Genomic DNA, 27,581 nt, shown 5'->3' with positions numbered 1-27,581 from the left:
CCTTAGGGCAGCCTCCGAGTTGCTTTCCAACAACTGGATGCTTTGTTAACTCTCCTGTATAAGAGCCCATCTGTGGGCTCCTTAGCATAAGCTCTTACTTTCTAACACTTCATCCTACTTGAAAGACTTTTTCCATCTCTCTTCAGTGACCACTAACACATCTGTGTCTCAGTAAGACCCTGCTTCACTGACTTGGACCACCTGGCCCTGTCTGTTGCATTAAGTCAGTCAGCAGAACAGGGGACTGAACAGAAGCTGAAAGATGTGGCGGGGACCAGGCATGGTGGTTCACACCTATAATCCCAGTGCTTTGGGAGTCTAAGATGGTAGAATTGCTTGAGGCCAGGAGTTCAAGACCAGATTGGGTAACACAGCAAGACCCCATCTCTACAAAAAATTGAAAAATTAGGCATGGTGGCATGTGCTGGTGGTCCCAGCTACTTAAGAGACTGAGGTGGGAGGATTGCTTGAGCCCAGGAGTTTGAGGCTGCAGTGAGCAGTGATTGCACCGCTGCACTCCAGCCTGGGTGACAGAGTGAGACCCCATCTGTTAAAGAAAATTTAAAAACAAAAAACGTTCTTAAAGACCTGGTGACTTGGGCCAATCGCAGTGGCTCACACCTGTAATCCCAGCACTCTGGGAGGTCGAGGCGGATCACTTGAGGTCAGGAGTTCGAGGCCAGCCTGGCCAACATGGTGAAACCCCATCTCTACTAAAAATACAAAAATTAGCCAGGCGTTCGTGGCGCATGCCTATAGTCCTAGCTACTCAGGAGGCTGAGGCAGGAGAATCACTTGAACCTGAAGGCAGAGGTTGCAGTGAGCCAAGATCTCACCACTGCACTCCAGCCTGGGCAACAGAGTGAAACTCCATCTCAAAAAAAAGACCCAGTGACTTCAAGAAAGATAACACTTCTGTGCTACTTTGTCACTATCCCATCTGTGACATAATTTTATATATATATTTGGTATTTAGTCTCTGTCCTCGGTACCTGGAACAGAGCTCTTGAAACCCTTGTAATCTCCTGAGTGCACCCAGCACGGGTGCAGCTTTTATCCTCATATTTGCTTTTTGACCCAGCTCCTGCCATTGAGCTCCAAATCTCTTGGAATGTCCTGGGTTACAGGAGCATCTTTTGTTCTAATGAAGTGGGCTTGCTTTTGGTGGGCTCCTGGATGAGGCTGGCCACCAGAAGGACCGACATGATTAGAAGATTGGAACTTTCAGCCCCACCCCCGATCTGCTGGGGTGCCTACATGATGAAGCTTCCGTAACAACCACTAACTATGGCACATAGGGAGCTTCCAGACTGCTAAATACATCAACATGCTGGGAGGGTGGCACAGCTCAACTCCCCAGGGACAGAAGCTTCTCTGCCCAGGATCTTCCCAGACCTTGCCCTCTGTATCTTTTCATCTGCCTGTTCATTTGCATCCTTTGAAATATCCTAATAAGTTGGGTGCGGTGGCTCAAGCCTGTAATCCCAGCACTTTGGAAGGCTGAGAAAGGTAGATCACTTGAGGTCAGGAGTTCAAGACCAGCCTGACCAACATGGTGAAATCCTGTCTGTACTAAAAATATAAAAATTAGCCAGGTGTGGTGGTTCATGCCTGTAATCCCAGCTACTTGGGAGGCTGAGGCACAAGAATCGCTTGAACCCAGGAGGCAGAGGTTGTACTGAGCTGAGATTGTACCACTGCACTCCGGCATGGGCAATGCAGCAAGACTGTTTCCAAAAAAAAAAAAATCCTAATAAATCCGCAATAGTAAGTGAATTGTTTTCTTGGGTTCTGTGGGCTACTCTAGCAAATTATTGAACCTAAGAATGTGGTTCCTCTGATTTACAGAGGAAGAACCTCTGATTTATGGCCATGTCAAACAGAAGCTGTGGGTAACCTGGGGACCTCCTACCTGCAACTAGTGTCTGAAGTGAGGGACAGTCTTGTGGGACTGAGCTTTTTTTTTTTTTGAGACAGAGTCTTGCTCTGTCACCCAGGCTGGAGTGCAGTGGTGCCATCTCAGTTCACTGCAACCTCTGCCTCTTGGGTTCAAGCCATTCTCCTGCCTCAGCCTCCTGAGTAGCTGGGATTACAGGTGCACACCACCACATCCGGCTAATTTTGGTAATTTTAGTAGAGACGGGGTTTCACCATGTCGGTCAGGCTGGTCTTGAACTCCTGACCTCAGGTAATCCGCCTGCCTGGGCCTCCCAAAGTGCTGGGATTACAGGCGTGAGCCATGGTGCCGGGCGTTGGGACTGAGCTCTTAACTCAGGGAGTCTTTGTTAATTCATTAGCATCAGAATTGAACTGAACAGTAGGATGCCCGGCTGGTGTCAGAGAATTGATTGGTATAGCAAAAAGCCCCACAAATTTGGTGTCAGAAGTGAAGGATTGAGTGGTGTGAGTACAGAGAGAAAAACGATTGGTCTTTCCTGTATTCACTGATCCATGTAACAATACAGAAAAGTATTTTGATTGATTCTACCATTTAGAAATAAGTATGGTGGGGGTGGGTGCAGTGGCTCCCGGCTGTAATCCCAGCACTTTGGGAGGCCGAGGCAGGCGGATCACAAGGTCAGGAGTTCAAGACCAGCCTGGCCAATATGGTGAAACCCCGGCTCTACTAAAAATACAAAAATTAGCCAGGCATGGTGGTGGGTACCTGTAGTCCCAGCTACTCGGGAGGCTGAGGCAGGAGAATCGCTTGAACTTAGGAGGTGGAGCTTGCAGTGAGCTGCGATCACGCCACTGCACTCCAGCCTGGGCAACAGAGCAAGACTCCATCTCAAAAAAAAAAAAAAAAAGAAAAAAAAGGAAAGAGAAATAATAAGTATGGTGGCCAGGTGTGGTGGCTCATGCCTGTAATCCTAGCTACTATGGGAGGTTGAGGCAGGAGGATCTCTCAAGTTCAGGAGTTCAAGACCAGCCTGGGCAACATAGTGAGACCCTGTGTCTACAAAAAACATCAAAAAAATTTAGCTGAGCTTGGTGGTGTACGCCTGCAGTCCCAGCTACGCAGGAGGCTGAGGTGGGAGGACTGCTTGGGCCCAGGAGATTTGAGGCTGCAGTGAGCCGTGATTGTGCTACTGCACTCCGGCTTCAGCAACAGAGCAAGACCCTGTTGCCAAAAAAAAAAAAAAAAAAAAAAAAGAAAAGTGTCCAGTTTTCAACTGGGTAGGTAGATTATATATCTATGAATTTTAATTCAGCATAGAATAGAGGATAGAGTTACAAAAGGTGGGTCTAACAGGGTTTAGAACTGCAGGACTGGCCGGGCGTGGTGGCTCATGCCTGTAATCCTAGCACTTTGGGAAGCTGAGGCAGGAGGATCACCTGAGGTCAGGAGTTCAAGACCAGCCTGGCCAACATGGTGAAATCCCATCTCTACTAAAAATGCAAAAATTAATTAGCCAGGCATGGTGGTGCATGCCTGTAATCCCAGCTATTCGGGAGGCTGAGGCAGGAGAATCAATTGAACCCGGGAGGCAGAAGTGACAGTGAGCCAAGATTACACCACTGCACTCCAGTCTGGGTGACAGTAAGACTCTGTCTCAAAATAAATAAATAAATAAAAATAAAAAATAACTAAAAGAGTATAATTGGATTGGTTTTAGCACAAAGGATAAATGCTCGTGGGGATGGAGACCCCATTCTCCATGATGTGATTATTACGCATGCATGCTTGTATGAAAACATCCCATGTACCCCATATATACACCTAATATGTAGCCACAATAATTAGAAAATTTTAAAAAACTCATGCTGCAAGTCTTTACAAAAGATTATTTTATTAATTCAATTTTTGCATAAAAGACTGTTAAAAGAACTTGCTAACTTGAAAACAATTTTGAGTATTTATGATCTTTCCAACTTGAAAACACCTGAACCTTATAGAACAGATTGTGTAAAGCAGCCAGGGCCACAGGAGTGAAAGAAGATGGAGACCCGCCGTCTGGTCATGATATGAGAGGCCTGGACAGTGACCTCACGAACAAAAAGAAATGATCCTCTTCAGTCCAAAGTGTGTTTGTGAGACTAATGACTCCATGCCCTCACATGGCCACTCCTCTTACAGCAGACAGCTTCACTCCGCTCCAGCCCCGGTACTGCGGTCTGTGGTAATTTACATGGGAATGGGATGAGATCTAGTAGTTTTAGATCCAACGCAATTCTGGGAAGGGTTGGTAATAAACCAAAACTCAATCTATGCAGTATTTAAAAAATAATTGAGAGTTGTGACAACTTCGATTCTTTTCAGGAGGTGCTGTCTTAAGATAGAAGAAAGGGATCAAGCTCTTATCTTAGAAAGCACAGACACGTTTAGCTCAGGGTAGTGCAATTCAATGCTAAGTGGCTGCTCCATGAAATCTAAGGGCCGGGTAAGGGGAAGAGGCCCAGGGACTTCTTCCTTGTCTGACACTCTCGGGACTAGCATTCTGGCAGGTCTTACAAGTTATAATACAAAACCATCAGATAAATTCTAATCACGACTGTGTAGTTCCTCCCCAAAATAATTTTCCTCTTAGAAGTAAAATCAGGAAAGGGGCTGAGTTCTGAAAAGAAACATCGGGGCTGTGGCCCAGGCCCTCTGAGTGTGGACGCTGTCCCCCGTGTCTCCATGTTTACTGCCTTATCGTCTCCTTTGTATGAAAGTATAATTTACGTAATTCGTCCTTGGAGAATCACAGTGGTGTTCAAGAACCTTTTGAGGCCATCCAAGTTTTTGTCCTTCAGTACCTTGAAATCAGATAATCTCAACATCCAGAAATAGCCTTTGATTTGTTCTTTCTCTGATGTCTTGTGTCCTTGGGATCAAAGCCTCTTTCACTGGCACCAAATAATGCCCAGTGAGGAGTTCTGGCCATATAATCCTTTGCGCTGAACGTTTTTGATCCACCACTATCTTCATATTCCTGGATGAGCTCCTGGAAGCGGTTATAATCGATCCATGTCCACCATTCACCACCAATTTTAAACTGGAAAGAAAAAAATGTGTCAAGTCAGAAGTAAAAACATCCCTAGAAAAAAAAAATGAATGTTTTTAAAATCATGAACAAGTCTGATCTTTTCTCCCTATCACGTCAAGAAAACAAAAACAAAAACAAACACAAAAAAACCTCTTCCATGTTCCAGACATGACTTCCTATCAAACCAAGATGCGCTACAATCACAGGAGAGCTTCCTTTCCCTTGGGCCTGCAGTTTTGCTGGGCCCGGAAGACAAGTCAAGTTTATCTCAAGCAGTCCCGCTGACACAGGGTTAAATGTTTCCATGTTACCATGTGACTAATTCAAACTCATTCTAATTCCTGCTGTTGCTGCTTTTGATCGGTTACAAATTTTCAAGGCTGTGTTAACAGCACCTCGTGGAATCCTTTTTAGACTCAACTTGGCTTGAGTTATTAGTGAAGGTTTCATCAATAACTTCTAATTCAAACATGCTAACTAAATGACTCAAACTAGCTTTTCTGGCCTAACGTGGATACAATATCTCATTAGTGGAAAGCCTGAAAAATTTCAATTCAGTAAGAGGGGATAATCCAATTTGTACTCTCTTAAGAAAATTGCTTCTCAAAAGTCACGGTGGAATAATGACCTGGAATGAAGAAAACAGAAAGAAAGTTGAAGAGGCTCAGAAGGAAATACTAATTGAACTGTGAAGGCTTTTAATTCAAAGCTATTGTTTGGCATTCATTTCTGTAAATGTATTAACTAATATGCTGATACCTGACTCATAAACAGACAAGTACTTGTCATGCCACTGTCTTTTTTTTTTTTTTTTTTTGAGACAGAGTCTCACTCTGTAGCCCAGGCTGGAGTGTAGTGGCCTGATCTCGGCTCACTGCAAGCTCTGCCTCCTGCGTTCATGCCATTCTCCTGCCTCAGCCTCCCGAGTAGCTGGGACTACTGGCTCCTGCCAGCACACCTGGCTAATTTTTTGTATTTTTAGTAGAGACGGGGTTTCACCGTGTTAGCCAGGATGGTCTCGATCTCCTAACCTCGTGATCCACCGGCCTTGGCCTCCCAAAGTGCTGGGATTACAGGCGTGAGCCACCACGCCCGGCCCATGCCACTGTCTTTTAAAAAACTTCGACTAATGGCCAGGCACGGTGGCTCACGCCTGTCATCCCAGCGCTTTCAAAGGCCGAGGCAGGTGGATCGCCTGAGGTCAGGCGTTCAAGACTAGCTTGGCCAACATGGTAAAACCCTATCTCTACTAAAAATACAAAAATTAGCCAGGCGTGGTGGTGTGTGCATGTAATCCCAGCTACTCGGGAGGCTGAGGCAGGAGAATCGCTTGAACCTGGGAGGTGGAGGTTGCAGTGAGCTGAGACAGTGCCACTGCACTCTAGCCTCAGTGACGTGAGTGAAATTCCATCTCAAAAATAAAAATAAGAAAACTCCAATGAACTAAATGAACTAAGGAACAATTTCCTGTTCTAGCCACAAAAAAAAGAAAGAAAATACATAGGTTCCTGAATTTAGAATATTAAAATATGCTGAATTTAAATGACATCTGATTTTTTACCCACTAGCTAAGAGCTTTCTAGGGGGAAAATGCTGAATATGTGGAAAAGTTTAATTACTCTATGAATTAGAAGAAATTTTCTTGTAATAAGACCATTCATGGAAATGGTGCCTCAAGGGCCCTGTGAACTCTACAACCCAAGATGTAAAATTTATATCTCACCATCATTTTCTCTCCCAAGACAGACTGTCCCTGAAGTGTTGTCTACTGTTGTGGAGGCAATCACTGTCATTCCCAGGCACTGAGCCTCGAAACTGCAGAGTCAAAGGTGACCTCCTTTTCCCTGGCCGCTCACACCACCTCCATCGATTCTCCCTGGGCAGCACTTCTGCTGCCAGTGGCGTGACTTGGTCACGCAGGCCCTTCCTCTGGGCCACAGCCACTGTCTTCCAGCCAATTGACCTTCTGATTCCAGCTGTGGCTTCTCTCAACTTCCCACAGACGGCCTGAGACTGTGCCGACAGCAGAATTGATTCCTATGATCCTGAATGTAAAGTCTGAGTATCAAATCTGCATCTCTTGGTGAGCTGTGGTCCTCTCACGTGACGCCCAAGCTGTTCCCTCTGTCTAACTCACATGTCCTTCATCCTTTGCTCTGGGAAGTCTTCCTAAATCCTGTTAGTTCGGTTGCAGTGAGAGAGTTCCCATGTTAGACAATTTCTGTCAGTTTCCTGGCCACAGGACCTCACTGTCTTGAACTTCCGCAGACACTATAATGGTCCCTGCAGTTTCCTCCTGCATTCCACCCCACCAAGCCTGCTGGCTCTGTGAATATAGGAACTTAACAACATATGCCATCACCCAGGACATGCGAGGGCCCAGTCTTTCTTCCTCACCTCTTTTTCTTTTTTTTTTTTTTTTTGAGACAGAGTCTCGCTCTGTCTCCCAGGCTGGAGTGCAGTGGTGCTATCTCGGCTCACTGCAAGCTCCGCCTCCCGGGTTCTCGCCATTCTCCTGCCTCAGCCTCCCAAGTAGCTGGGACTACTGGCACCTGCCACCACACCTGGCTAATTTTTTTTTGTATTTTCAGTAGACACAGTGTTTTACCGAGTTAGCCAGGATGGTCTCGATCTCCTGACCTTGTGATCCGCCCATCTCGGCCTCCCAAAGTGCTGGGATAACAGGCGTGAGCCACTGCACCCAGCCCTTCCTCACCTCTTAACAAATCTAGAAGACCATACAAAGAATCAAAATTCCACCCGTTCTACTGACATCTTGAGACATGATGGGATTTTGCTGCTACTGGCTCCATGGAATAAAAGGGACTGCTTCACTGTGTATTCATGACAGAGGCATGACACTCACCCTTGACTGAGCCTGGGGTGACTGACATGACATTAACATGTAATTCAACATGCATGACAGTCAAATGAGGCCAAAAATCATGATCCATCCATCAACATGGGCCAATTGGGACAACTATGGACTTGGCCCAGTTACATACATTTAGAAAATAATTATAATACAACATAGCATGTATAGCAGGTGAGGTTATGTACAAGGCACTTGGGGAGTACAGGGACAGGTGTGATAAATCACACAAGCTTGGCCCTGTAGAGGAGTCTCTTTGGGGATCCCAGTGTTGCTTGCTGAAAGACAAGAGATGACCATACTCTCTTCTTCCCTATTTGTGTCCCTTTGGTGTTTTGATTTCTAGATCTGAAGTCTGACCCCTCTGGTTCATAATCCTGATGCTCCTTCACCCTCAAACTCTAACATGATCATTTACCATGGGTGTTCTAAGAGAGAGTAAAGGATTAGTTTGAGCAATACAATGGACTTAAATTTTTTTTTTTTTTTACCATACCTACAGTCAAAAATATACTTTATATCTCAATCTAGTACACGCAAATATACACACACAAGCTGGGAATACAACTTTCACAAAACTGCAGGCAATGCACTTCATAAGAGAACTGCTGGCTGCAACTCACAAAACCAACTTCCTCACTTCTAATACAGTGTGAAAGCTTCTGCACTAAAAGATCTGGTTTCTTTTGACTCTAAAACTCTGCTCTGGTTTAAAATGGAAGAAATTTCAGTTGCACAGGTAGGACAACTGTAAGCTAAAATCTGACAACTGACTGCTCTGATTCCCAAAGTCTAAAAAACTAACTGGAAGACCAAGTAAATGCAGGACAAAGTAGGAGTATTAGCTCAGGCTGCCGTAACAAAATGCCATAGTGTGGGGGACTGAAACAACAGAAAATTCTTTTCTCACAGTTCTGGAGGCTGGAATTCCAAGGTTCTGGCTCAGTTTCTGGTGAGGGCTCTCTTCCTGTCTTGAAGGCGGCTGCCTTCTTGCTCTTTCCCACATGGCCTTTTCTTGGTACATGTACACGGAAAGTGAGTGAGCAAGTGACTTGGGCCCTCTCATGTCTCTTCTTCCTTTTTTTTTTTTTTTTTTAAGAGATAGGTTCTCACTCTGTCACCCAGGCTGGAGTGCAGTGGTGCAACTATTGCACATTGCAGCCTCAATCTTGTGGGCTCAAGCCATCCTCCCACCTCAGCCTCCTGCGTAGCTCAGATTACAGGTACATGTCACCATGCCCAACTAATTTTTAAATTTTCTGTAGAGAAAGGGTCTAGCTATTTTGCCCAGGCTGCTCTTGAACTCCTGGCCTCAAGTGATCCTCCCACCTTGATCTCCCAAAATGCTAGGATCATAGGCATGAGCCACCGCACCCAGCCCTGATGTCTCTTCTTATAAAGACACTGATCCTATTAGATCAGGGCTTACCCTTATAACCTCATTTAATCCCAGTTGCTTCCTTTGAAACCCCATCTCCAAATATAGCCACGCTGGGAGTTAGGACCTCAACCTATGAACTTGGGAGGGGAGGGGGGCCACAAACATTCAGTCCTTAAGAGTAAGTTATTCTGAAATGAACAGAACCACTAGACCCAAAAGACAAAACTGAACCACATGTGCCGCCTCTCAGGGCAATCTGAGACGAATCATACTGAATAATCACAGCTCAGAAAAAATCAAAGTGTTCCATGTAAAAGGCAGAAGCTGAAAGAGCAAAATTTGGTATGACTGACACACAAACAGCGCTGAGAGACAGCTGCATAAACAGAGGCATGAGACCCCAAATCGTAAAATCTGAAGTTAAGTATCCTGAGACACGAGGTCACCCTGCTAAAAGAATCCCTCGAATCCAACAGTAAGGGAAGAACGGAATCTATGCAGAATTACAAATAAACTCAAAAGGTCATAAATGATCTTAAAAACACACAAGTGCAATAAGATACAGCCTGACTTAAAAAAGCCAGGCTGCTAAGGGTCTGTGGCCTTGCTGGCTAGATGAGGCAATGCAGGCTCCCACTCTCTGCAAGAATCAAACTGCTGTACAAAGGGCCTTGTTCTCCTTATGTTCTCCTCTTTCACACAGGGAGAATTTCGCTAAACAATAATAATGGCATAGGTTCTCTGTTAGTGTAAATGTTTAAAAAGATTCTATTAAAGATGGTAGATTAAACACATGCATTTACTATTACTTCCTCTTGAAACCCCACTAAAATGACAGTAAGAACATTTAAAAAAGATATATAACATAAAAATAAAGCTACCAGGAGAGGAGAAAACAGTATTGGACTTTCAGAAGCTGAACAGATGATGGGTGAGCAAACTGGTTTAGCAGACCCAAGAGAGCTGAATCCTAAGCCAGCAAATAGAGAAATCCAAGATTCAGCCCAAATTATGCTTTAGAATTCCTCAAAGGCTCAGAAACTGGCTGCACTAGTTCCCCCGACAGGAAGCATGGATTGAGGAGGTACCAAACCCACTCCCCACCAAAAACCCAAAGGCAGGTTTATATTCTGTTTAAGACACGATTAGAATCTCAAGTTCCTGAGCCCCCTGCATATATTCACAGCTGAGCACCTGCCCACTCCATGCCCCGACAGATGCTTAGAGGTTTCTTCTCAGAAGACAATTCAGAAAGGATCTGTGGTCTGTGGGACAGCAGGTATAGCTGAGAGCAGGGCTGCCATAATAAAACTATTTCCTTTCCTGTTTCTGGACCACCAGGGACCATTGCAAGCTGCAGAAAATGAGAAGACCCTACTGACCAGCCCAAGAAGACAGATGACAAGATACTGAGGTTGGGATTCCCTAAGGAAATGATCCAGCAGATCACTCCAAGATAGAGTCAACCCCAAACCATTAGGGTGCTCTTTATTTTTTATTATTATTTTTATTTATTTATTTTTGAGACGGAGTCATGCTCTGTTGCCCAGGCTGGAGTGCAGTGGCGCAATCTCGGCTTCATTGCAACCTCCACCTCTCGGGTTCAAGTGATTCTCCTGCCTCAGCCTCCCGAGTAGCTGGGATTACAGGTGTGCACCACCATACCCAGCTAATTTTTGTATTTTTTGAAGAGATGGGGTTGCACCATGTTGGCCAGGCTGGTCTTTAGTCTCCCATTCTCAAATACAAGCATATAACCAATGACCATCAGCCACCTCAGAAAAACTTCTAACATGATAGAGGGATAAAAATAAAAAGAGGCTGGGGGCAGTGGCTGGGCGCAGACACTCTGTCACCCAGGCTGGAGTGCAATGGCATGATCTCAGCTCACTGCAACCTCTACATCCCAGGTACAAGAGATTCTCCTGCCTCAGCCTCCAGGGTAGCTGGGACTACAGGCACACGCCACCACGCCCGGCTAATTTTTTGTATTTTTAGTAGAGATGGGGTTTCACCATGTTAGCCAGGCTGGTCTTGAACTCCTGACCTCAGGTGATTCACCTGCCTAGGCCTCCCAAAGTGCTGGGATAACAGGCGTGAGCTACTGCACCTGACAAAAAAGATTTTTTTTTTAATATTAAAGAACTAGTCCATAAGACCCAATTTAAAACTTTTCTTTTTAGTAGTTCTAGACAGAAAGGAGAAAAAAAAAATAGAAGAGAGGATATATTCATTGAAATAATTCTGGAAATGTTAAGAAGTGAAGGACATGAGTTTCCACATTAAAGGTGTCTACAATGGATAAAACCAGACACACCGTCTGAGGCACATTATAGCGAAATTTCAAAACAATGGAGACAAAGAGAAAATCGAATGAGAAAAACATGGTCATACACAGAGGATTAGGAATCTGAATGCCTTTTGAGTTCTCAATTACTGCAAGGAAAGCTGAAAGACAGCAGGTCCAACCTCAAAGGGGGAATAGTTTCCAGCCAAGAATTCTATATCCAAATCAAATGCGTAGGGAGAATGAAAACACGTTTGGACATTAAAGGTCTCAAAAAGTTGTACTTTTTACATGCCAGTTTCTTAGGAATCTCCTAGAAGTTGTGTTTCCTGTGAATGAAGGAGTAACTTTAGGAAACACAGGATCCCAGAGACATTTCACTCAAGACAGAGCTGGTGATCCCAGGATAACAGCTGTGAACTAGGTGGTAGAGAGTGAACTGTCCAAGGTAGGTGGGTAAGTAAGTGTCCTGCAGAGACTTCTTCAAAAAGATGAACCTGATAGCAAATCCAATGCATCTGAAAGTCTGCGAGGCAATATATTTGAGATGGCAGAGAGTTTGAGAGTTGTTAGCGAAATAACACAGAAATCTAGATGAAGAAAATAATAAAAATTAACCAAAGGTGGCACTGGAAACAAATAGCAATTGCAGGAGATGGCATGGCTTGGCCATGAACAGTGTTCACGTGGTTATAATAATGCAAAAAAAAATCATCTAAATAAAAATCTGGTATGTGTATGTTAGGAGGGTGGGGGAATGGGAAAGGATGTTCCAGGAGAAGGTAGAAGCAAGCTCAAGCCTCATCTTCCATGGTACACAGTAAAGAGATAATAAGCAGCCAGGCATGGTGGCTCACACCTGTAATCCCAGCACTTTGGGAGGCCGAGGTGGGTGGATCATTTGAGGTCAGGAGTTCAAGACCAGCCTGGCCAACAAGGTGAAACCCCGCCTCTACTAAAAATACAAAAACTGGCAGCCTCCTGTAGTCCCAGCTACCCAGGAGGCTAAAGCAGGAGAATTGGTTGAACCCGGGAGGTAGAGGTTGCAGTGAGCCGAGATCGCGCCACTGCACTCCAGCCTGGGGGACAGAGCAAGACTCCGCCTCAAAAAAAAAAAAAAAAAAGAGATAATAAGCAAAATGGTGGGTTGGGGGTGCAGGGGCGAGCAGCAATATAAGTATGCTATTTAGAGATACGGAGATAAATACCAAATGAATCACCTAGAAAATCTGAAAGTGGTTGTTGCTTGAGAGGGGGAAATGGAGGTGTGTTTGTGTTTGAGGAGGGTACAAGGAACTGCTGCTTTTTTGTTTTGTTTTGTTTTTTAATAAACTTGGACTTTTTAACTGTCCATGTAGAATTTTGACAAAACTAAAAATAAGGTTTAAAATAGTGGTGACTGTATCCAAGAAAGGAAAAAGCACATCAACAACCTCAGCCAAAAAATGTAGGGCAGAGGAAAGGAGAGGACTGGCAGGCAAACAGTAGTGACAAATCCTTGTGAAGTGTCCTACTGGGTACTAGGTGCTATGTTTGGTTCTGTATCTTGTGTAATCCACATAATAAACATGTTGTAGTCACATTCCTATCTTTTGAATGAGAGCAAAAGTCCAAAAAAAGCTAAGTGATAGATGTGCTTAGGCCATATCCTAAGGAAGTAGAGGGCCAAGATTCAAATTGGAGGGTGTTAAAGAGACCGTGGCCATTACATGATCCCATGTGACTGGTAGCTTTCAAACTGGAAAATGACAGAACTAACAGTCATGTCTTTCAAATATTTCTCAAGGAAACTGCAAAGAGAGGCTTTTTGTTTTGTTTTGTTTTAGAGACAGGGTCTTCCTCTGTCACCCAGACTGGAGTGCAGTGGTGCAATCATAGCTCACTGAAGCCTCAACTTCTTCGGCTCAAGGATCCTCCCTCCTCAGTCTCTGGAAGAGCTGGGACTACAGTGCATGCCACCATATCCAGCTAATGTTTTAACGTTTTGTAGAGAGACAGTCTTGCTATGCAGCCCAGGATGGTCTTGAATTCCAGGACTCAAGCAATTCTCCCATTTCAGCCTCTTAAAATGCTGGGAATACATGTGTGAGCCACCTCACCTGGCCAGAGCATTGTTTTTTTTGTTTGTTTGATTTTGTTTTACCCCTTATTTGTGTGCAATATCCCTAAGTTAACTCCCTTTGTTTAACTTATCTAAAACTTACAGAAAACAGTGTATATTCCAATTTTTTTTTTTTTGAGATGGAGTCTCACTCTGTTGCCCAGGCTAGAGTGCAGTGGCACAATCTCGGCTCACTGAAACCTCTGCCTCCCAGGTTCAAGAGATTCTCCTGTCTCAGCCTCCTGAGTAGCTGGGATTACAGGCATGCCCCACCACGGCCCAGCTAATTTTTGCAATTTTAGTAGAAATGGGGTTTCGCTACGTTGGCCTGGCTGGTCTCAAACTCCTGACCTCAGGTGATCCGCCCGCCTCAGCCTCCCAAAGTGCTAGGATTACAGGCATGAGCCACCGCACCCGGCCTATATTCTAAATTCTTAAGGTACTTCAACTTCTCTTGGCATTCAGTCTAAACAATGAGTGCACTGAAAAGCCTACTATCTGTTAATTATTTCTCTACTCAAGTACAGCACAAGAGGCCTTAGGCAAACGAGGGGAGCCGAAAGCTTTTTATGCAGACCTCTAAAGTCAGTGTACTCTGCCTTTGATTTCTTTGATTTTATTTACAAGCTTCCATCCCTTCTCAGAAAATAATAACCAAAAAAATAAAACTGGCACAGTGAAGTACATTCTCCTCCCATTACATGAACTAGTTCCTAACAGTTACAGGCAAGAGGTTGCAGATGAAGAACTGACTTCCCATCGGTTTCCCTTGTAACTTCTCCAGAGACTCATCTATACGGGAAATCCAGTCATCTCAAACTCAAAATGTCACAAAGAAAAAACTTGTATCATTCGGCTGGCCCCCAGCCACTGTCTCAAACCAGGTTCTGCTGAAAGTTGTTCCAGCTTTTGTTACAAATACTGCAGAGTCACTGAAAAAAGTTCTAATCATACAAAGGTCTCATAGTTCTACACATTCAAGAGTTGAAATAAGAAGGAAATCTTATATATGAGCTGAAAAAAGAGTACCCCACAAGCTATTTATTAGCATCAACATTGGAGGTGGTTTGTATGACTATTCCTCCACGTAACACTATACCATTCTTTATTTAAAAAGCAAATGGTCAGAACCTTTAGGAAAAAGCCTTTATTAAGAAACTGCTTGATATGGTTTGGCTGTGTTTCCACCCAAATCTCATCTTGAATTGTAGTTCCCACAATTCCCATGTGTTGTGGGAGGGACCAGGTAGGAGGTAATTGAATCATGGAGGAGGGCCTTTCCTGTGCTGTTCTTGAGATAGTGAATAAATCTCACAAGATCTGATGGTTTTACGAAGGGGGGTTTCCCTGCACAAGTTCTCTTCTCTTGTCTGCCTCCATGTGAGACGTGACTTTCACCTTCCGCCACGATTGTGATGCCACCCCAGCCACGTGAACTGTGAGTCCATTAAACCTCTTTTTTCTTATAAATTACCCAATCTCAGGTATGTCTTTATCAGCAGCGTGAGAAAAGACTAATACACTGCTATAGGCAAGGCACAATTCTAGATGCTTTTTATACTTCACTTCATTTAGCCGTCACAATCACCCCAGAAAACAGAGCTACTCCCACATTGCAGTTAAGAATGAGAAACTGTGAAACGAGGATTAGAAAACACATTCACCAGTGCAAAGTTCAGCGGCCCGCAAGACCACCTCCAGATTTAACAGTTCACTAGAAGGACCCACAGAACTCTCTGAAAGCTGTTATATTCATGTATGTTTTATTATAGCATAAGGACACACATTAACGCTAACCGAGGGAACAGGCACGTGGGACCGAGTCTAGGAGAATTCCATGCCTGGAGCTTCCGGTTGTCCTATCGCAGAGGGGTTATAGACAGAGCTAACTTCTCCCAGCAGGGATGTGTGATGATATGCACAGAGTGCTGCCAACCTTGGAAATGCACCTGAGTCTTGGTGTCCAAAGATTTTACTGCAGCTCAGTCACCTAGACACAGTTGACTGCTACATGTCTGACCTTAATTTCCAGCCCCTCCAGAGGTTGAGCCAATAACTGCATGGCCCAAAGCCCCAACTATATGAAACCATTTGGTTGGCAGAGAATATCTGGTGTGGGGGCCGGGTTTGGTGGCTCACGCCTGTAATCCCAGCACTTTGGGCAGCTGAGGTGGGAGGATCACCTGAGGTCAGGAGTTTGAGACCAGCCTGGCCAACATGGTGAAACTCCGTCTCTACTAAAAATACAAAAATTAGCCGGGTGTGGTGGTGCATGCCTGTAATCCCAGCTACGTAGGAGGCTGAGGCAGGAGAATCAATTGAACCTGGGAGGCGGAGGTTGCTGTGAGCAGAGATCGTGCCACTGCATTCCAGCATGGGCGACAGAGTGAGACGCCCATCTCAAAAAAATAATAATAATAATAGAATATCTGGTGTGGCCTAAGGCCTACAAATAAACAAAGGTACTCTTATCAGGCAGGACATTCCAAGGGCTTGGAGGTCACCTCCCAGAAGCTGAGGGCAAAGGTCAGCCCTTTGTTTGGGTAAAATTCATCTATCTGCACAATCAGCATTTCAAAGGCCATATATAATAGACAAAACGGAATAAAACAAAAATAAAAAAGAACACTAATGCAAAACGAATCATTCATATTATTTTCATTTCTACACTCAAGGGCTTTTATGTGATCTTAGTGTCAATTATTATTTTCTAAATGGGTCTTCCAAACATACAATCATACTTACAAGCCACACAGCAGGGGAAGTATTGATGAAAGAAGAGAGGCTACCGGACCTTCTCACAACTCAAAATTAATGTTAACTGTGTGGGAGTAGAGGAAGTCCAGGGGTCGTCTGAGGGAGAAGTGATTTTGGAATACTGAGGGGTGATTTTTAGACTACAAAAAAGAGTATTACTGAAACCACCCAGTGGGTTCACCTTGCCCACTGCCTAGACAGAGCCAATTAATCAAGACAGGGGAACTGTAATGGAGAAAGAGTAATTCACACAGAGCCAGCTGTGCGGGAGACTGGAGTTTTATGATTACTCAAATCGGTGTCCCTGAACATTCAAGCAGCAGAGTTTTTAAGGACAACTTGGTGGGTTGGGGGAAGCCAGTGAGCCAGGAGTGCTGATTGGTCAGAGATGACATCACTGGGAACTGAAGATGTCCTCTTGAGCTGAGTCAGTTCCTGGGTGGTGGCCACAAGATCAGATGAGCCAGTTTATCGAGCTGGGTGGTGCCAGCTGATCCATCAAGTGCAAGGTCTGCAAAATTTCTCAAGCACTCATCCTAGGGGCAGTTTAGGGAGGGTCAGAATCTTGTAGCCTCCAGCTGCATGACTCCTAAACACTAATTTCTAATCGTTTGGCTAATTTCTTAGTCCTACAAAGGCCATCGGGTCCCTAGCAAGAAGGAGGTTTGTTTTAGGGAAGGGCTATTATCATCTTTGTTTTAAATTATAAACTATAAACTAAATTCCTCCCAAAGTTAGTTCAGTCTATACCCAAGAATGAAGAAGGACAGCTTGGAGGTTAGAAGCAAGATGCAGTCGGTTAGGTGAGATCTCTTTCATTGTCTCAGTCATAATTTTGCAATGGTGGTTTCATTACAGTGGTATCTTGTGAACTTCCCAGATTTACCAAAATTTGTTCTTGCTGGTTGTAGCTACAACTGTGTAGTTTCTTCTTTGGGTAAGAAGAGGCAGAGATCACAAGGGCAGACTTGTGATTGCCTGCAATAGTGGAATGCTGAGAGCTGTTGCCACCTTCTTCTGAGTTTACTGGTAATAAGTAGGATTCACATGGTAACAGTTGCCCGTGGAACCATTTTCACAGACAAAACTATAACCATAAGATTACATTCTTGACATAGCCAAGTGCAACTCTAAAAGTTTATCTGGAAACTCATTTTCTGAAGTTTCAACCTTAATCTCCAGTGGAGCTAAATCCTCTGAGCAGTGTTACCAAAATGCCAATTTCCTCTGATATTTCTCTAAAAGCAACTGCTGCTGGGAGCAATCAGGCCTCTGATGAGGGTGAGTTCCACATGTACCACAGTCACTAGGTTTTGCTAAGAGAACACTGGCAAAACCTAAATGGAGATACACAAGTCCCTTCTTATTCCAAGATGGGAGGGTGTGGGGGTGGTGATAGCTCTTCTTCCCCTCCCTTCACAGACTACAAGTTTTATTATCTCCAAAAAGGAGGTCCCTGTGATCAGTGCCTAATTATCTACAGGATCTTAATTATGGCCAGACTCTCAGAGCTAATGATCATGGAGATCAAGGAGACTGCTGTTGGCTGTGCTGGGACAGGGACTCTGTCTCCTGTTTCCAAAGGACATTTCACCTTCCCTACCTTGTCTGTGCAACGTACTTGTTCAAAGTAGGCTTTGTATTTGGAAACACTTGGGATTGAATTCTAGTCGTGTCCTACTTGCCCTTGGACAAGACTTCTACTTTTTTTTTTTTTTTTTTTTTTTTGAGACGGAGTCTTGCTCTGTCATCCAGGCTGGAGTACAGTGGTGCAATCTCGGCTCACTGCAACCTCTGCCTCCTGGGTTCAAGTGATTTTCCAGCCTCAGCCTCCCAAGTAGCTAGGATTACAGGCAAGTGCCACCATGCCCACCTAATTTTTATATTTTCAGTAAAGATGGGGTTTTGCCATGTTGGCCAGACTGGTCTTGAACCCCTGACCTCAGGTGATCCACCCGCCTCAGCCTCTCAAAGTGCTGGGATTACAGGCATGAGCCACTGCACCCAGCTAGACTTGTACTCATTTAAGCCTCAGTTTCCTCCTTTGGAATATGAGAAAAAATAGTATCTATGATCCAATAGACTTTTGTAAGGATTAAATGAGTTATGGCATGTATAGTGCTCACCACGGTAACCTTAATAAATGTTACTGGTTGCTGAATTTATCAGCAGACTCCGAAACTAAGGAATGACACCAGACATTTTCTTCGTGGTGATGAAAGACACTAGAAGATAATGAAATAATTATGTTGGAAGGCAATAGAGGAATATCTTCAAAGTGCTAATAGGAAATACCTCGATTTAGAGTTTCTACTCTGATGATCTATTATTCAAGAAAGTGAAATAAAGATGTTTTGGGGAGAAAAAAGAAGGCTAAGTTTACCACTGAGTTCAGTAAGAAGGAAACTGTGCCAGCAGGAACAGCTGGGAGTGCCAGAAACAAAGGTGAACTGAGAAAGTGGTATGTACGAGGACACATCTAAACAAGTATTGGCCGGGCATGGTGGCTCATGCCTGTAATCCCAGCATTTTGGGAGGCCAAGGCAGGCGGATCACTTGAGATCAGGAGTTCAAGACCGGCCTGACCAACATGGTGAAACCCCATCTCTACTAAAAATACAAAATTAGCCACGTGTGGTGGTGTACACCTGTAATCTCGGCTACTTGGGAGGCTGAGGCAGGACAATCACTTGAACCCGGGAGGCGGAGGTTGCAGTGAGCTGAGATCGTGCCATTGCACTCCAGCCTGGGCAACCAGAGCGAAACTCTGTCTCAAAAATAAATAAACAAACAAACAAGTATCAACTTGTTTAAAAGGAAACTTGTAGGAAAAAGCACAGGAAAGTCCTTGTGTTGTGCTGAAGGAGAATAGCAAAGTTAATTTACTTCAGAATCCAACTAAGTATAAATTTTAAAAATATCCAGGTAGAGGATTCTGGGAAGATGCTGGAGTAGAAAGCACTAGGAATACTTTACCCCACCCAGACAAAAATTACACTGGCAGAATTTGTCTGATGTAACTATTTTGGAACTCTGGAGTCTATTGAAGGCTTGTAACATTCAGGGGAAGGCTTGACAGTAAATTGCAGTTATTTTCAGTCAATCTCTGCTCTTAGCTCCAAAGCCGCTACCAGTCCCCGATGACTCAGCCCCATGGCAGGCAGCTGTGTACATGTTATGGGAGCAGCTTGCATGCAGCTTCTAAGAGCCAGGATAGGCAATAAGAACACTGTCTTCAAAATATTAAGGATCTGTGTTCTTGTCATGGAAGGGTGGAATAGAGGCAGCCAGTCAGGGTGCCAAGCCCCTCCCTGTCTAGCTTAAGTGACTCCCTGGGGACTTCAAGGGCCAGTGCTTCCCCCATCCCTACTCTTTCACTTTTCTCTTTCCCACCTTTGGGAGGTGTACATTAAAGACTAAGACATTAAAAAATAAACATATTTATAGGGAAATTATAGTTACCATGGATGCCCAGGGAAAGGTACAGTCTTCAAAGAGAACTGAAAAGACTTTAAGTTCATACCTCGGGCTGATCCTTGGCACAGAGACAGCCTTCAATAATCAAACAAAACAAAACAAAACTCCAGAAAACACTGAGAGGCAAAGAATCTGATTCACACAGTGGCCACATGATAAGATACAAATGTCCAGTTTTCAACAAGAAAATCACAAGGCACACAAAGAAACAGTGATATACGGTCCATCCAAAAGAAAACTACAAATCCAACAGAAACTCACCCTGAGAAAGGGTAGATGGCAGATCCACTAGAAACAGACTTTAAAACAGCGATCTTAAAGATGCTCTAAAAACTACAGGAATATGTGGGAAAAGTCAAGAAAAGGACATATGAACAAAATAGAAATATCAATAGGCATAGAAAACCTAAAAAGAAACCAAAAAGAAATTCTGGAACTAAAAAGTGTAATAACTGAAATGAAAAATTCATTAGAAGAATTCAAAGGCATATTTCTACAGGCAGAAGGATTAGTGAACCTGAAAACAGGACAATGGAAATGATCACGTCCGAATAGCAAAAAAAAAAAAAAAAAAAGAAAAAAAGCGAACAGAGATTAAGGGACCATGAACACCATCAAGTGAACTGACATTTGCACGTGGCAATCTCAGAAGGAGAGAGACAGAAGACGACAGAGAGAATGCTTGAAGAAATAATGGTCAAAATTTTCCCTAAATTTAATGAAAGACATAAATATAAACATTGAAGAAGTTCAAGGAACTCCAAGGATAATGAACTAAAAAAGACACACACCAAGACACATTATAATCAAACTGTCAAAAGTCAAAGACAGAGAATCTTGAAAGCAGCAAGAGAGCAGTGACTTGTCACACACACAGGGTATACTTAATAAGGTCATAGAAGATTTCTAATCAGACATTTTGGAGCTCAGAAAGCTAATAATGTTTAAAGTGCTGAAAGAAAAAAAATGTCAACCAGGAATCCTATACTGGCAAAACACGAGGAAGGAAATAAGACATTTCCAAATAAACAAAAGCTGAGGGAGTTCATCAATCTACTAGATCTTCCCTGTAAGAAATGCTAAATGGAGTCCTGCAGGTTGAAATGAAAGGGCACTAGACAGTAATTTGAAGCTGCATGAAGAAGTAAAGATCATAGTAAAGGTAAATATATGGGCAAATATAAAATTGATTGTTACAGCTTTGTTTTGTAACTCTATATTTTTTTCTTTTCTTTTTATTTTTTTGAGATGGAGTCTCGCTCTGTTGCCCAGACTGGAGTGTAGTGGTGCGATCTCAGCTCACTGCAACTTCCACCTCCCAGGTTCAAGCAATTCTCGTGCCTCAGCCTCCCGAGTATCTGGGATTACAGGCGCCCACCACAATGCCTGGACAATTTTTGTATTTTTAGTAGAGATGGGGGTTTGCCATTTAGCCAGGCTGGTCTTGAACTCCTGACCTCAGATGATCTGCCCACCTCGGCCTCCCAAAGTGCTGGGATTACAGGCGTCAGCCACCACACCCAGCCTCTATGTTTTGTTTTCTATGTTAACACACTAATGTGTTTAAAAAAAAAAAAAAAGACAAGTATTAGTTTATGTTTTGGGGCACACAATGTATCAAAAAGGTGTTATTCTGTGACATCAACAACTGAAATGGGTGGGAACAGAGCTGTAAAGGAACATAGTTTTGTATGCTGTTGAAGTTAAGCTGGTATAAATTAAAATTAGAGTATTAAAACTTTAGAATGTTAAATGCGATGTCCATTGTAAGCACAAGGAGAATAGCTACAGCATCTACACAAAAGGAAATGAAAAGGTAATTTAAATGTTTCACTGCAAAGAATCAACTCAACACAAAGAAGACAATATTCAGAAAATGAGACAAAAAAGCTGTAAGGCATATGAGAAATAACAAAATGACAGAAGTAAATCCCTCCATATCGGTCATTATTTTCGATGAATATTAATTAAACCCTCCCATCCAAAGACACAGATTGGTAGAATAAACAAAAAGATATGATCCCATTCTATGCTATCTACAATAGATTCGCTTTGAACCCAAAGATACAAGTGGATTGAAAGGGAAAGGATGGAAAAAGGTATTCCATGCAAAGAGTAACCCAAAGACAGCAGGAGCGGCTCTACTAATATCAAAGAAAATAAGACTTTGAATTAAAAAGGTTATGAAACAAAGAAAAATATTACATATTGATAAAAGGTTCAACAGAGCAAGAACATATAACTATTATAAACATTTAGGCAGCTCATAACAGATAATCAACATATACAAAGCAGATATTGATATAATTGAAAGGAGAAATGACAATTCTACAACAATACTCAGAGACTTCAATACCTCATTCTCATTCATAGATACAACAACCAGAGAAAGATAAGCAAGAAAATAAAGCACTTGGACGGGCGCGGTGGCTCACACCTGTAAACCCAGCACTTTGGGAGGCCAAGGCAGGTGGATCACCTGAGGTCCCGAGTTCAAGACCAGCCTGACCAACCCCATCTCTACTAAAAATACAAAATTAGCTGGGCATGGTGGCACATGCCTGTAATCCCAGCTACTCGGGGGGCTGAGGCAGAAGAATCGCTTGAACCTGGGAGGTGGAGGTTGTGGCAAGCCGAGATCGCGCCATTGCACTCCAGCCTGGGCAACAAGAGCAAAACTCCGTCTCAAAAAAAAAAAAGAAAAAGAAAGAAAGAAAATAAAGCACTTGAAGGGCACGATAAGCCAACTTGATTTAACAGGCACACAGAACACTGTACCTAACAACAACAGAATACACATCCTTCCCAAGTACACATGGGACATTTTCCAGGAAAGGCGGTAAGTTAGGCTACCAATTAGGCCTAGATTCAACAACATAGATATCATACAAAGCATATTCTCCAAGAACAATGGGATGAAGTTAAAAATCAATAAATGAGGCCAGGCGTGGTGGCTTAGGCCTGTAATCCCAGCACTTTGGGAGGCCAAGGCAGGCGGATCACGAGGTCAGGAGATCGAGACTATCCTGGCTAACACGGTGAAACCCCATCTTTACTAAAAATACAAAAAATTAGCCAGGCATGGTGGCAGGCGCCTGTAGTCCCAGCTACTCGGGAGGCTGAGGCAGGAGAATGGCATGAACCCGGGAGGCGGAGCTTGCAGTGAGCTGAGATCGCGCCACTGCACTCCAGCCTGGGTGACAGAGCCAGACTCCATCTCAAAAAAAAAAAAAAAAAAAATCAATAAATGAATGAAACTAAAAAATTCACAAATTTGTAGAGATTAAGCAACACACCCCTAAATATTACCAATGGATCACAGAAGAAATCACAAGGGAAATTAGAAAATGCTTACAGACTAATGAAAATGAAACCACCACATATCAAAACGTATGGGACACAGTGAAAGCAATGCTAAGGTAAGAACTTATAGCTATAAACACTGATTTTTAAAAAAGGAGACCTCAAATCAACAACCTAACTTCAAAACTTCAGGAACTAAAAACAGGACAAACTGAACCAAAAGCTAGCAGAAGGAAATAATAAAGATTAGAGCAGAGATTAACAAAATAGAGAATAGAAAAAAAAAAAAAAAACCCACAAAACCCAAAGCTGGTTCTTTTAAAAGATCAACAAAATTGACAAACCTTTAGCTGGATGAATTTTTAAAAGGAGAGAAATAAGACTCGAATTACCAAAATCAGAAATGATTTTGCTACCAATTCTGCATTTAAAAAAAAAAACTGTAAGAGTGTACTATAAACAATGGTACGCCAACAAATGGATAACCTAGATGAAACAGACAAATTCCTAGAAACATGAAATCTACCAAGACTAAGTCACAAAGAAATAGAAAATCTGATTGGACTTATAACTATTACGGAGATTAAATCAGTAATTTAAGATCTCCCTACGAAGAATAGCCCTGGACCTGATGGCTTCACTTGTGAATTCTACAAAACATTTAAAAGAGAACTAACACCAATCTTTCTCAAACTTTTCCAAAACACTGAAGAGGAGGGAATACTTTCAACTCATTCAGTGAGGTCAGCATTATCCTGATACCAAAGCCAGACAAAGATCGTACTGGAAGAAAACTGTATATGAATATCACTTTTGAATACTGACACAAAAATCCTCAAAACACCAGCAAGCCAAATTCAGCAGCATATTAAAAGAATTATATGCCCTGGACAAGTGGGATTTAACCCTGGAATGCAAGGATGGATCCATGTAATATACCACATTAATAGAATGAAGGACAAAAACCACATGATCATCTCAATTAATGCAGGAAAGGCATCTGACAAAACAACACCCTTTCGCGTTTTTCATGATAAAAACACTCGACAAAGAAGGAATAGCTGGAAACTATCTTAACATAATAAAAGCCACATATGAAAAAACCTACAGTGAATATCATACTCAATAGTAAAACACTGAAAGCTTTTCCTCTAAAATAGAGCAAGGCAAGGATGACCATCTTCACTACTTTCGTTCAAAATAATAATGGAAGTTCTCATCACAGCAATTAGGTAAGAAGAAGAAATACAAGGTATCCAAATTGGAGAGGAAAAAGTAAAACAATTTTTGTTTTTAAATGATATGATGTTATATGTAGAAAATTATAAAGATTCAACCAAAAAACTGTTTAAACTAATAAAGGAATTCAGCAAAGTGGCAGGATACAAAGTTAACATGCAAAAATCAGCTGCATTTCCACATACTAATAATGAACAATCTGAAAAGAAAAAACAAAAACAAAAACAGGTTCATAAACAATAGCCACCATAGTGAGTGGTGGCTCATGCCTGTAATCCCAACACTTTGGAAGGCCGAGGTGGGCAGATTGCTTGAGCTCAGGAGTTTGAGGTAAGTCTGGTCAACATGGTAAAACCCTGTCTCTAAAAAAATACAAAAATTAGCCAGTTGTGATGGCATGCACTTGTAGTCCCAGCTACTCAGGAGGCTGAGGTGGGAGGATCTCTTGAGTCTCAGAGGTGGAAGTAGCACCAAGTTGAGACCATGCCACTGCACTAGAGCCTGAGCAACAGGGCGAGACTCCATCTCAAAAAAAAAAAATAAATAAATATAAATAAAACAAAATTAAAAATACAATAGCATCAAAAATAATAAAATACTTCAAATTAAATTTAACCAAAGAGATGAAAGACTTGTACAATGAAAAGTATAAAATATTACTGAAAGTAAAGAACACATAAATAAATAGAAATACATCCCATGTTCATGGATTGAAAGATTTAATATTAAGATGTCAACACTGGCCGGGCATGGTGGCTCACACCTGTAATCCCAGCATTTTGGGAGGCCAAGGCAGGGAGATCACCTAAGGTCAGGAGTTCGAGACCAGCCTGGCCAACATGGTGAAATCCCATCTCTACTAAAAACACAAAAATTAGACGGGCATGGTGGCAGGTGCCTGTAATCCCAGCTACTTGGGAGGCTGAGGAAGGAGAATCACTTGAACCCGGGAGGCAGAGGTTGCAGTGAGCCAAGATCACATCATTGCACTCCAGCCTGGGTGACAAGAGTGAAAAACTCTGTCTCAAAAAAAAAAAAAAAAAAAAAAAAAAAGACATCAACACTACCCAAAGTTATCTACATATCCAATACAATATCTATCAAAATAACAAAAACATTTTTTGTAGAAATAGAAATCTATCCTAAAATTCATATGGATTCTCATGGGACCCTTAATAGCCAAAACAATCTTGAGAAAAAACACAAAACTGGAGGACTCACACTCCCTGATTTCAAAACTTACAACAAAGCTATAATAATCAAAACAGTGTGATACTGGCATAAAGACAGACATGTAGAACAATGGAATAGAGAGCCCAGAAATAAACCCTAACAAATATAGTCAAATTATCTTTGACAAGGGTGCCAAGACTACTCAATGGGGAAAGGACAGCATCCTTAACAAATGGTGTTGGAAAAACACTACATGCAAAGCAATGAGGCTGGACCCTTATCTAACACCACATGCAAAAATTAACTCAAAATGGATCAAAGACCTAAACATAAGACTTAAAACTATAAGACTCTTAGAAGGAAACATATGGCAAAAGCTTCATGACATTGAATATAGCAGTGATTTCGTGGGTATAGAGAATAGGCAAGAAAAGAAAGAATAGACAAACTGGACTTTATGAAAAAATTTAAAAGGCATGCATCAAAAGGCAGTATCAACAGAGTAAAAAGGCAACTCAGAAAATGGGGAAAAAAATTGCAAATGATGTATCTGGTAAGGGATACTACCCAAAATATATAGAGAATGCCTAAAACTCAACAACAACAACAACAAAATCCCAATTCTTTTCCAAAGAAGATATAGAAATGGACAATAAGCACAGAAAAAAAAGTGCTCAGCATCACTTATTAGGCAAATATAAGTCAAAACTACAATAAGAACTCAGAGTATTGATAAAATTATCTGCACACCAAGCCACATAACCAGTCTCAAAAAATACTCCAGATAAATATAAGGCAGACCACTACATATGAATAAAATGCAATAAAATTCAAATCAAAATAATGAAAAATATTCATATGACAGATTAAAAAATACTACTAAATAATTCATAGATTGAATAAGAAATCATGATGGAAATTGTAACAAACTTAGATCTCAATGACAAGAAAAGTTCTATAGGGCAAAATTTGTGGGATGCAGCTAAAGTAGTACCTAAAGGGAAAGTTATGGCCCCAAATGCCCATGTTAGCTTAGAGAAAAAAAGAGGTAGAGTAAAATATTATGAGCAACGTAATCAACTCAAGATAGAAAAATAACAGAGTCATTTCAGAGAAAGTAGGAAGGAAAGAAACAATAAAAATAAACAGCATTCTAGTGAAATAGCAAACAAGAGAAATAAGCAAAAATTCCAAATGCTGGTTCTTTGTAAACACACTGAAATAGACACACCTCGTCTATGGCGGTACCACCCTGAACGCACCCGATCTCGGCTGAACTAGACACACCTCTGGGCAAGACAATTAAGAAAAGATGAGATGAGACCAATAGTGACAATGATAGGATTACAGATTTGAAATTTTTTATCTTAGAGAAAATCGTAAGTAACTTTTGCCAAGATTTTGAGAACTTAGATGAAATGCACAATATTCTAGAAAAATACACATTACAAAAAATGATTCAAGGAGAAAAACTTGCATCATATTATATCCATTAAAGAAAAAAATTATCTATAGAAGGCAGCAGCCCTAGATGACTTCAAAGAACAAGCAACTTCAGGGAAAAGAAAGAAAACACTCCCTATCTCCTATTATGAGCTGAATATTACCTTAAGTCCAAGGTAGATAAGGACAGTACAGAAAGGAAAAAGAACAGATTAATCTCATGAGGACAGATTCGAACATGATGGTTAATATTGAGTGTCAACTTTGATTGTACTGAAGGACACAAAGTATTAATCCTGGGTGTGTCTGTATGGGTGTTGCCAAAAGAGATTAACATTTGAGTCAGTGGGCTGGGGAAGGCAGACCCACCCTTAATGTGGTGGGCACAATTTAATCAGTTTCCAGTGAATATAAAGCAGGCAGAAAAACATGAAAAGGAGAGACGGGCCTAGCCTCCCAGCCTACATCTCTCTCCCATGCTGGATGCTTCCTGCCCTCGAACATCGGACTCCAAGTTCTTCAGGTTTGGGACTCATACTGGCTCTCCTTGCTCCTCAGCTTGCAGACAGCTTATTGTG

At 42.3% G+C, this 27,581-nt stretch overlaps 1 protein-coding gene and 1 long non-coding RNA gene across 6 annotated transcripts in view, besides 3 other annotated features; one reads left to right on the top strand and one right to left on the bottom strand.

Moving 5' to 3' along the window:
• Positions 2,028 to 2,570: an enhancer, noted in NCBI's record as "OCT4-NANOG hESC enhancer chr7:66705704-66706246 (GRCh37/hg19 assembly coordinates)". NCBI's record gives its function as "activates a minimal SCP1, AML or CMV promoter by ChIP-STARR-seq in primed H9 embryonic stem cells {active_cell/tissue: H9 hESC(primed)}" and the evidence as "EXISTENCE:reporter gene assay evidence [ECO:0000049][PMID:30033119]".
• Positions 2,051 to 2,345: a silencer, noted in NCBI's record as "tiled region #9158; K562 Repressive non-DNase unmatched - State 16:ElonW". NCBI's record gives its function as "represses a minimal TATA promoter and a strong SV40 promoter by Sharpr-MPRA in K562 cells {active_cell/tissue: K562}" and the evidence as "EXISTENCE:reporter gene assay evidence [ECO:0000049][PMID:27701403]".
• TYW1 (tRNA-yW synthesizing protein 1 homolog) overlaps positions 3,773 to 27,581 on the bottom strand; it is a 242,682-nt gene continuing 218,873 nt past the window's right edge. For 3 of the 4 annotated variants that reach the window (NR_134540.2, NM_018264.4, XM_017012392.3), the window contains one exon: positions 3,773 to 4,979. Coding sequence is in view for 3 of the 4 variants with exons in the window: in NM_018264.4 (NP_060734.2) it covers positions 4,758 to 4,979 (222 nt within the window). In the remaining variant the exon portion in view is untranslated. Of the gene's footprint in view, positions 4,980 to 15,357; positions 16,905 to 27,581 lie in introns of those variants that run through there. The other variant, XM_011516372.4, reaches the window with a different exon arrangement.
• Positions 6,335 to 15,084, top strand: LOC124901665 (uncharacterized). Of its 2 annotated transcripts, XR_007060372.1 has the most exons (3): positions 6,335 to 7,053; positions 10,565 to 10,637; positions 13,337 to 15,084. It is a non-coding gene; the product is annotated as an uncharacterized LOC124901665 (long non-coding RNA). The 2 variants fall into 2 exon arrangements; XR_007060371.1 differs by lacking the exon at positions 13,337 to 15,084 and having other exon boundaries at positions 10,565 to 13,092.
• Positions 19,438 to 19,638: a silencer, noted in NCBI's record as "peak6550 fragment used in MPRA reporter construct". NCBI's record gives its function as "represses an SCP1 promoter by STARR-seq MPRAs in K562 erythroleukemia cells {active_cell/tissue: K562}" and the evidence as "EXISTENCE:reporter gene assay evidence [ECO:0000049][PMID:32103011]".

The sequence above is a fragment of the Homo sapiens genome, chromosome 7, assembly GCF_000001405.40.
Source record: "Homo sapiens chromosome 7, GRCh38.p14 Primary Assembly".
NCBI lineage: Eukaryota > Metazoa > Chordata > Mammalia > Primates > Hominidae > Homo > Homo sapiens.
The sequence above is the reverse complement of the archived record's forward strand: the minus strand, read 5'-3'. Positions and strand labels throughout refer to the sequence as shown.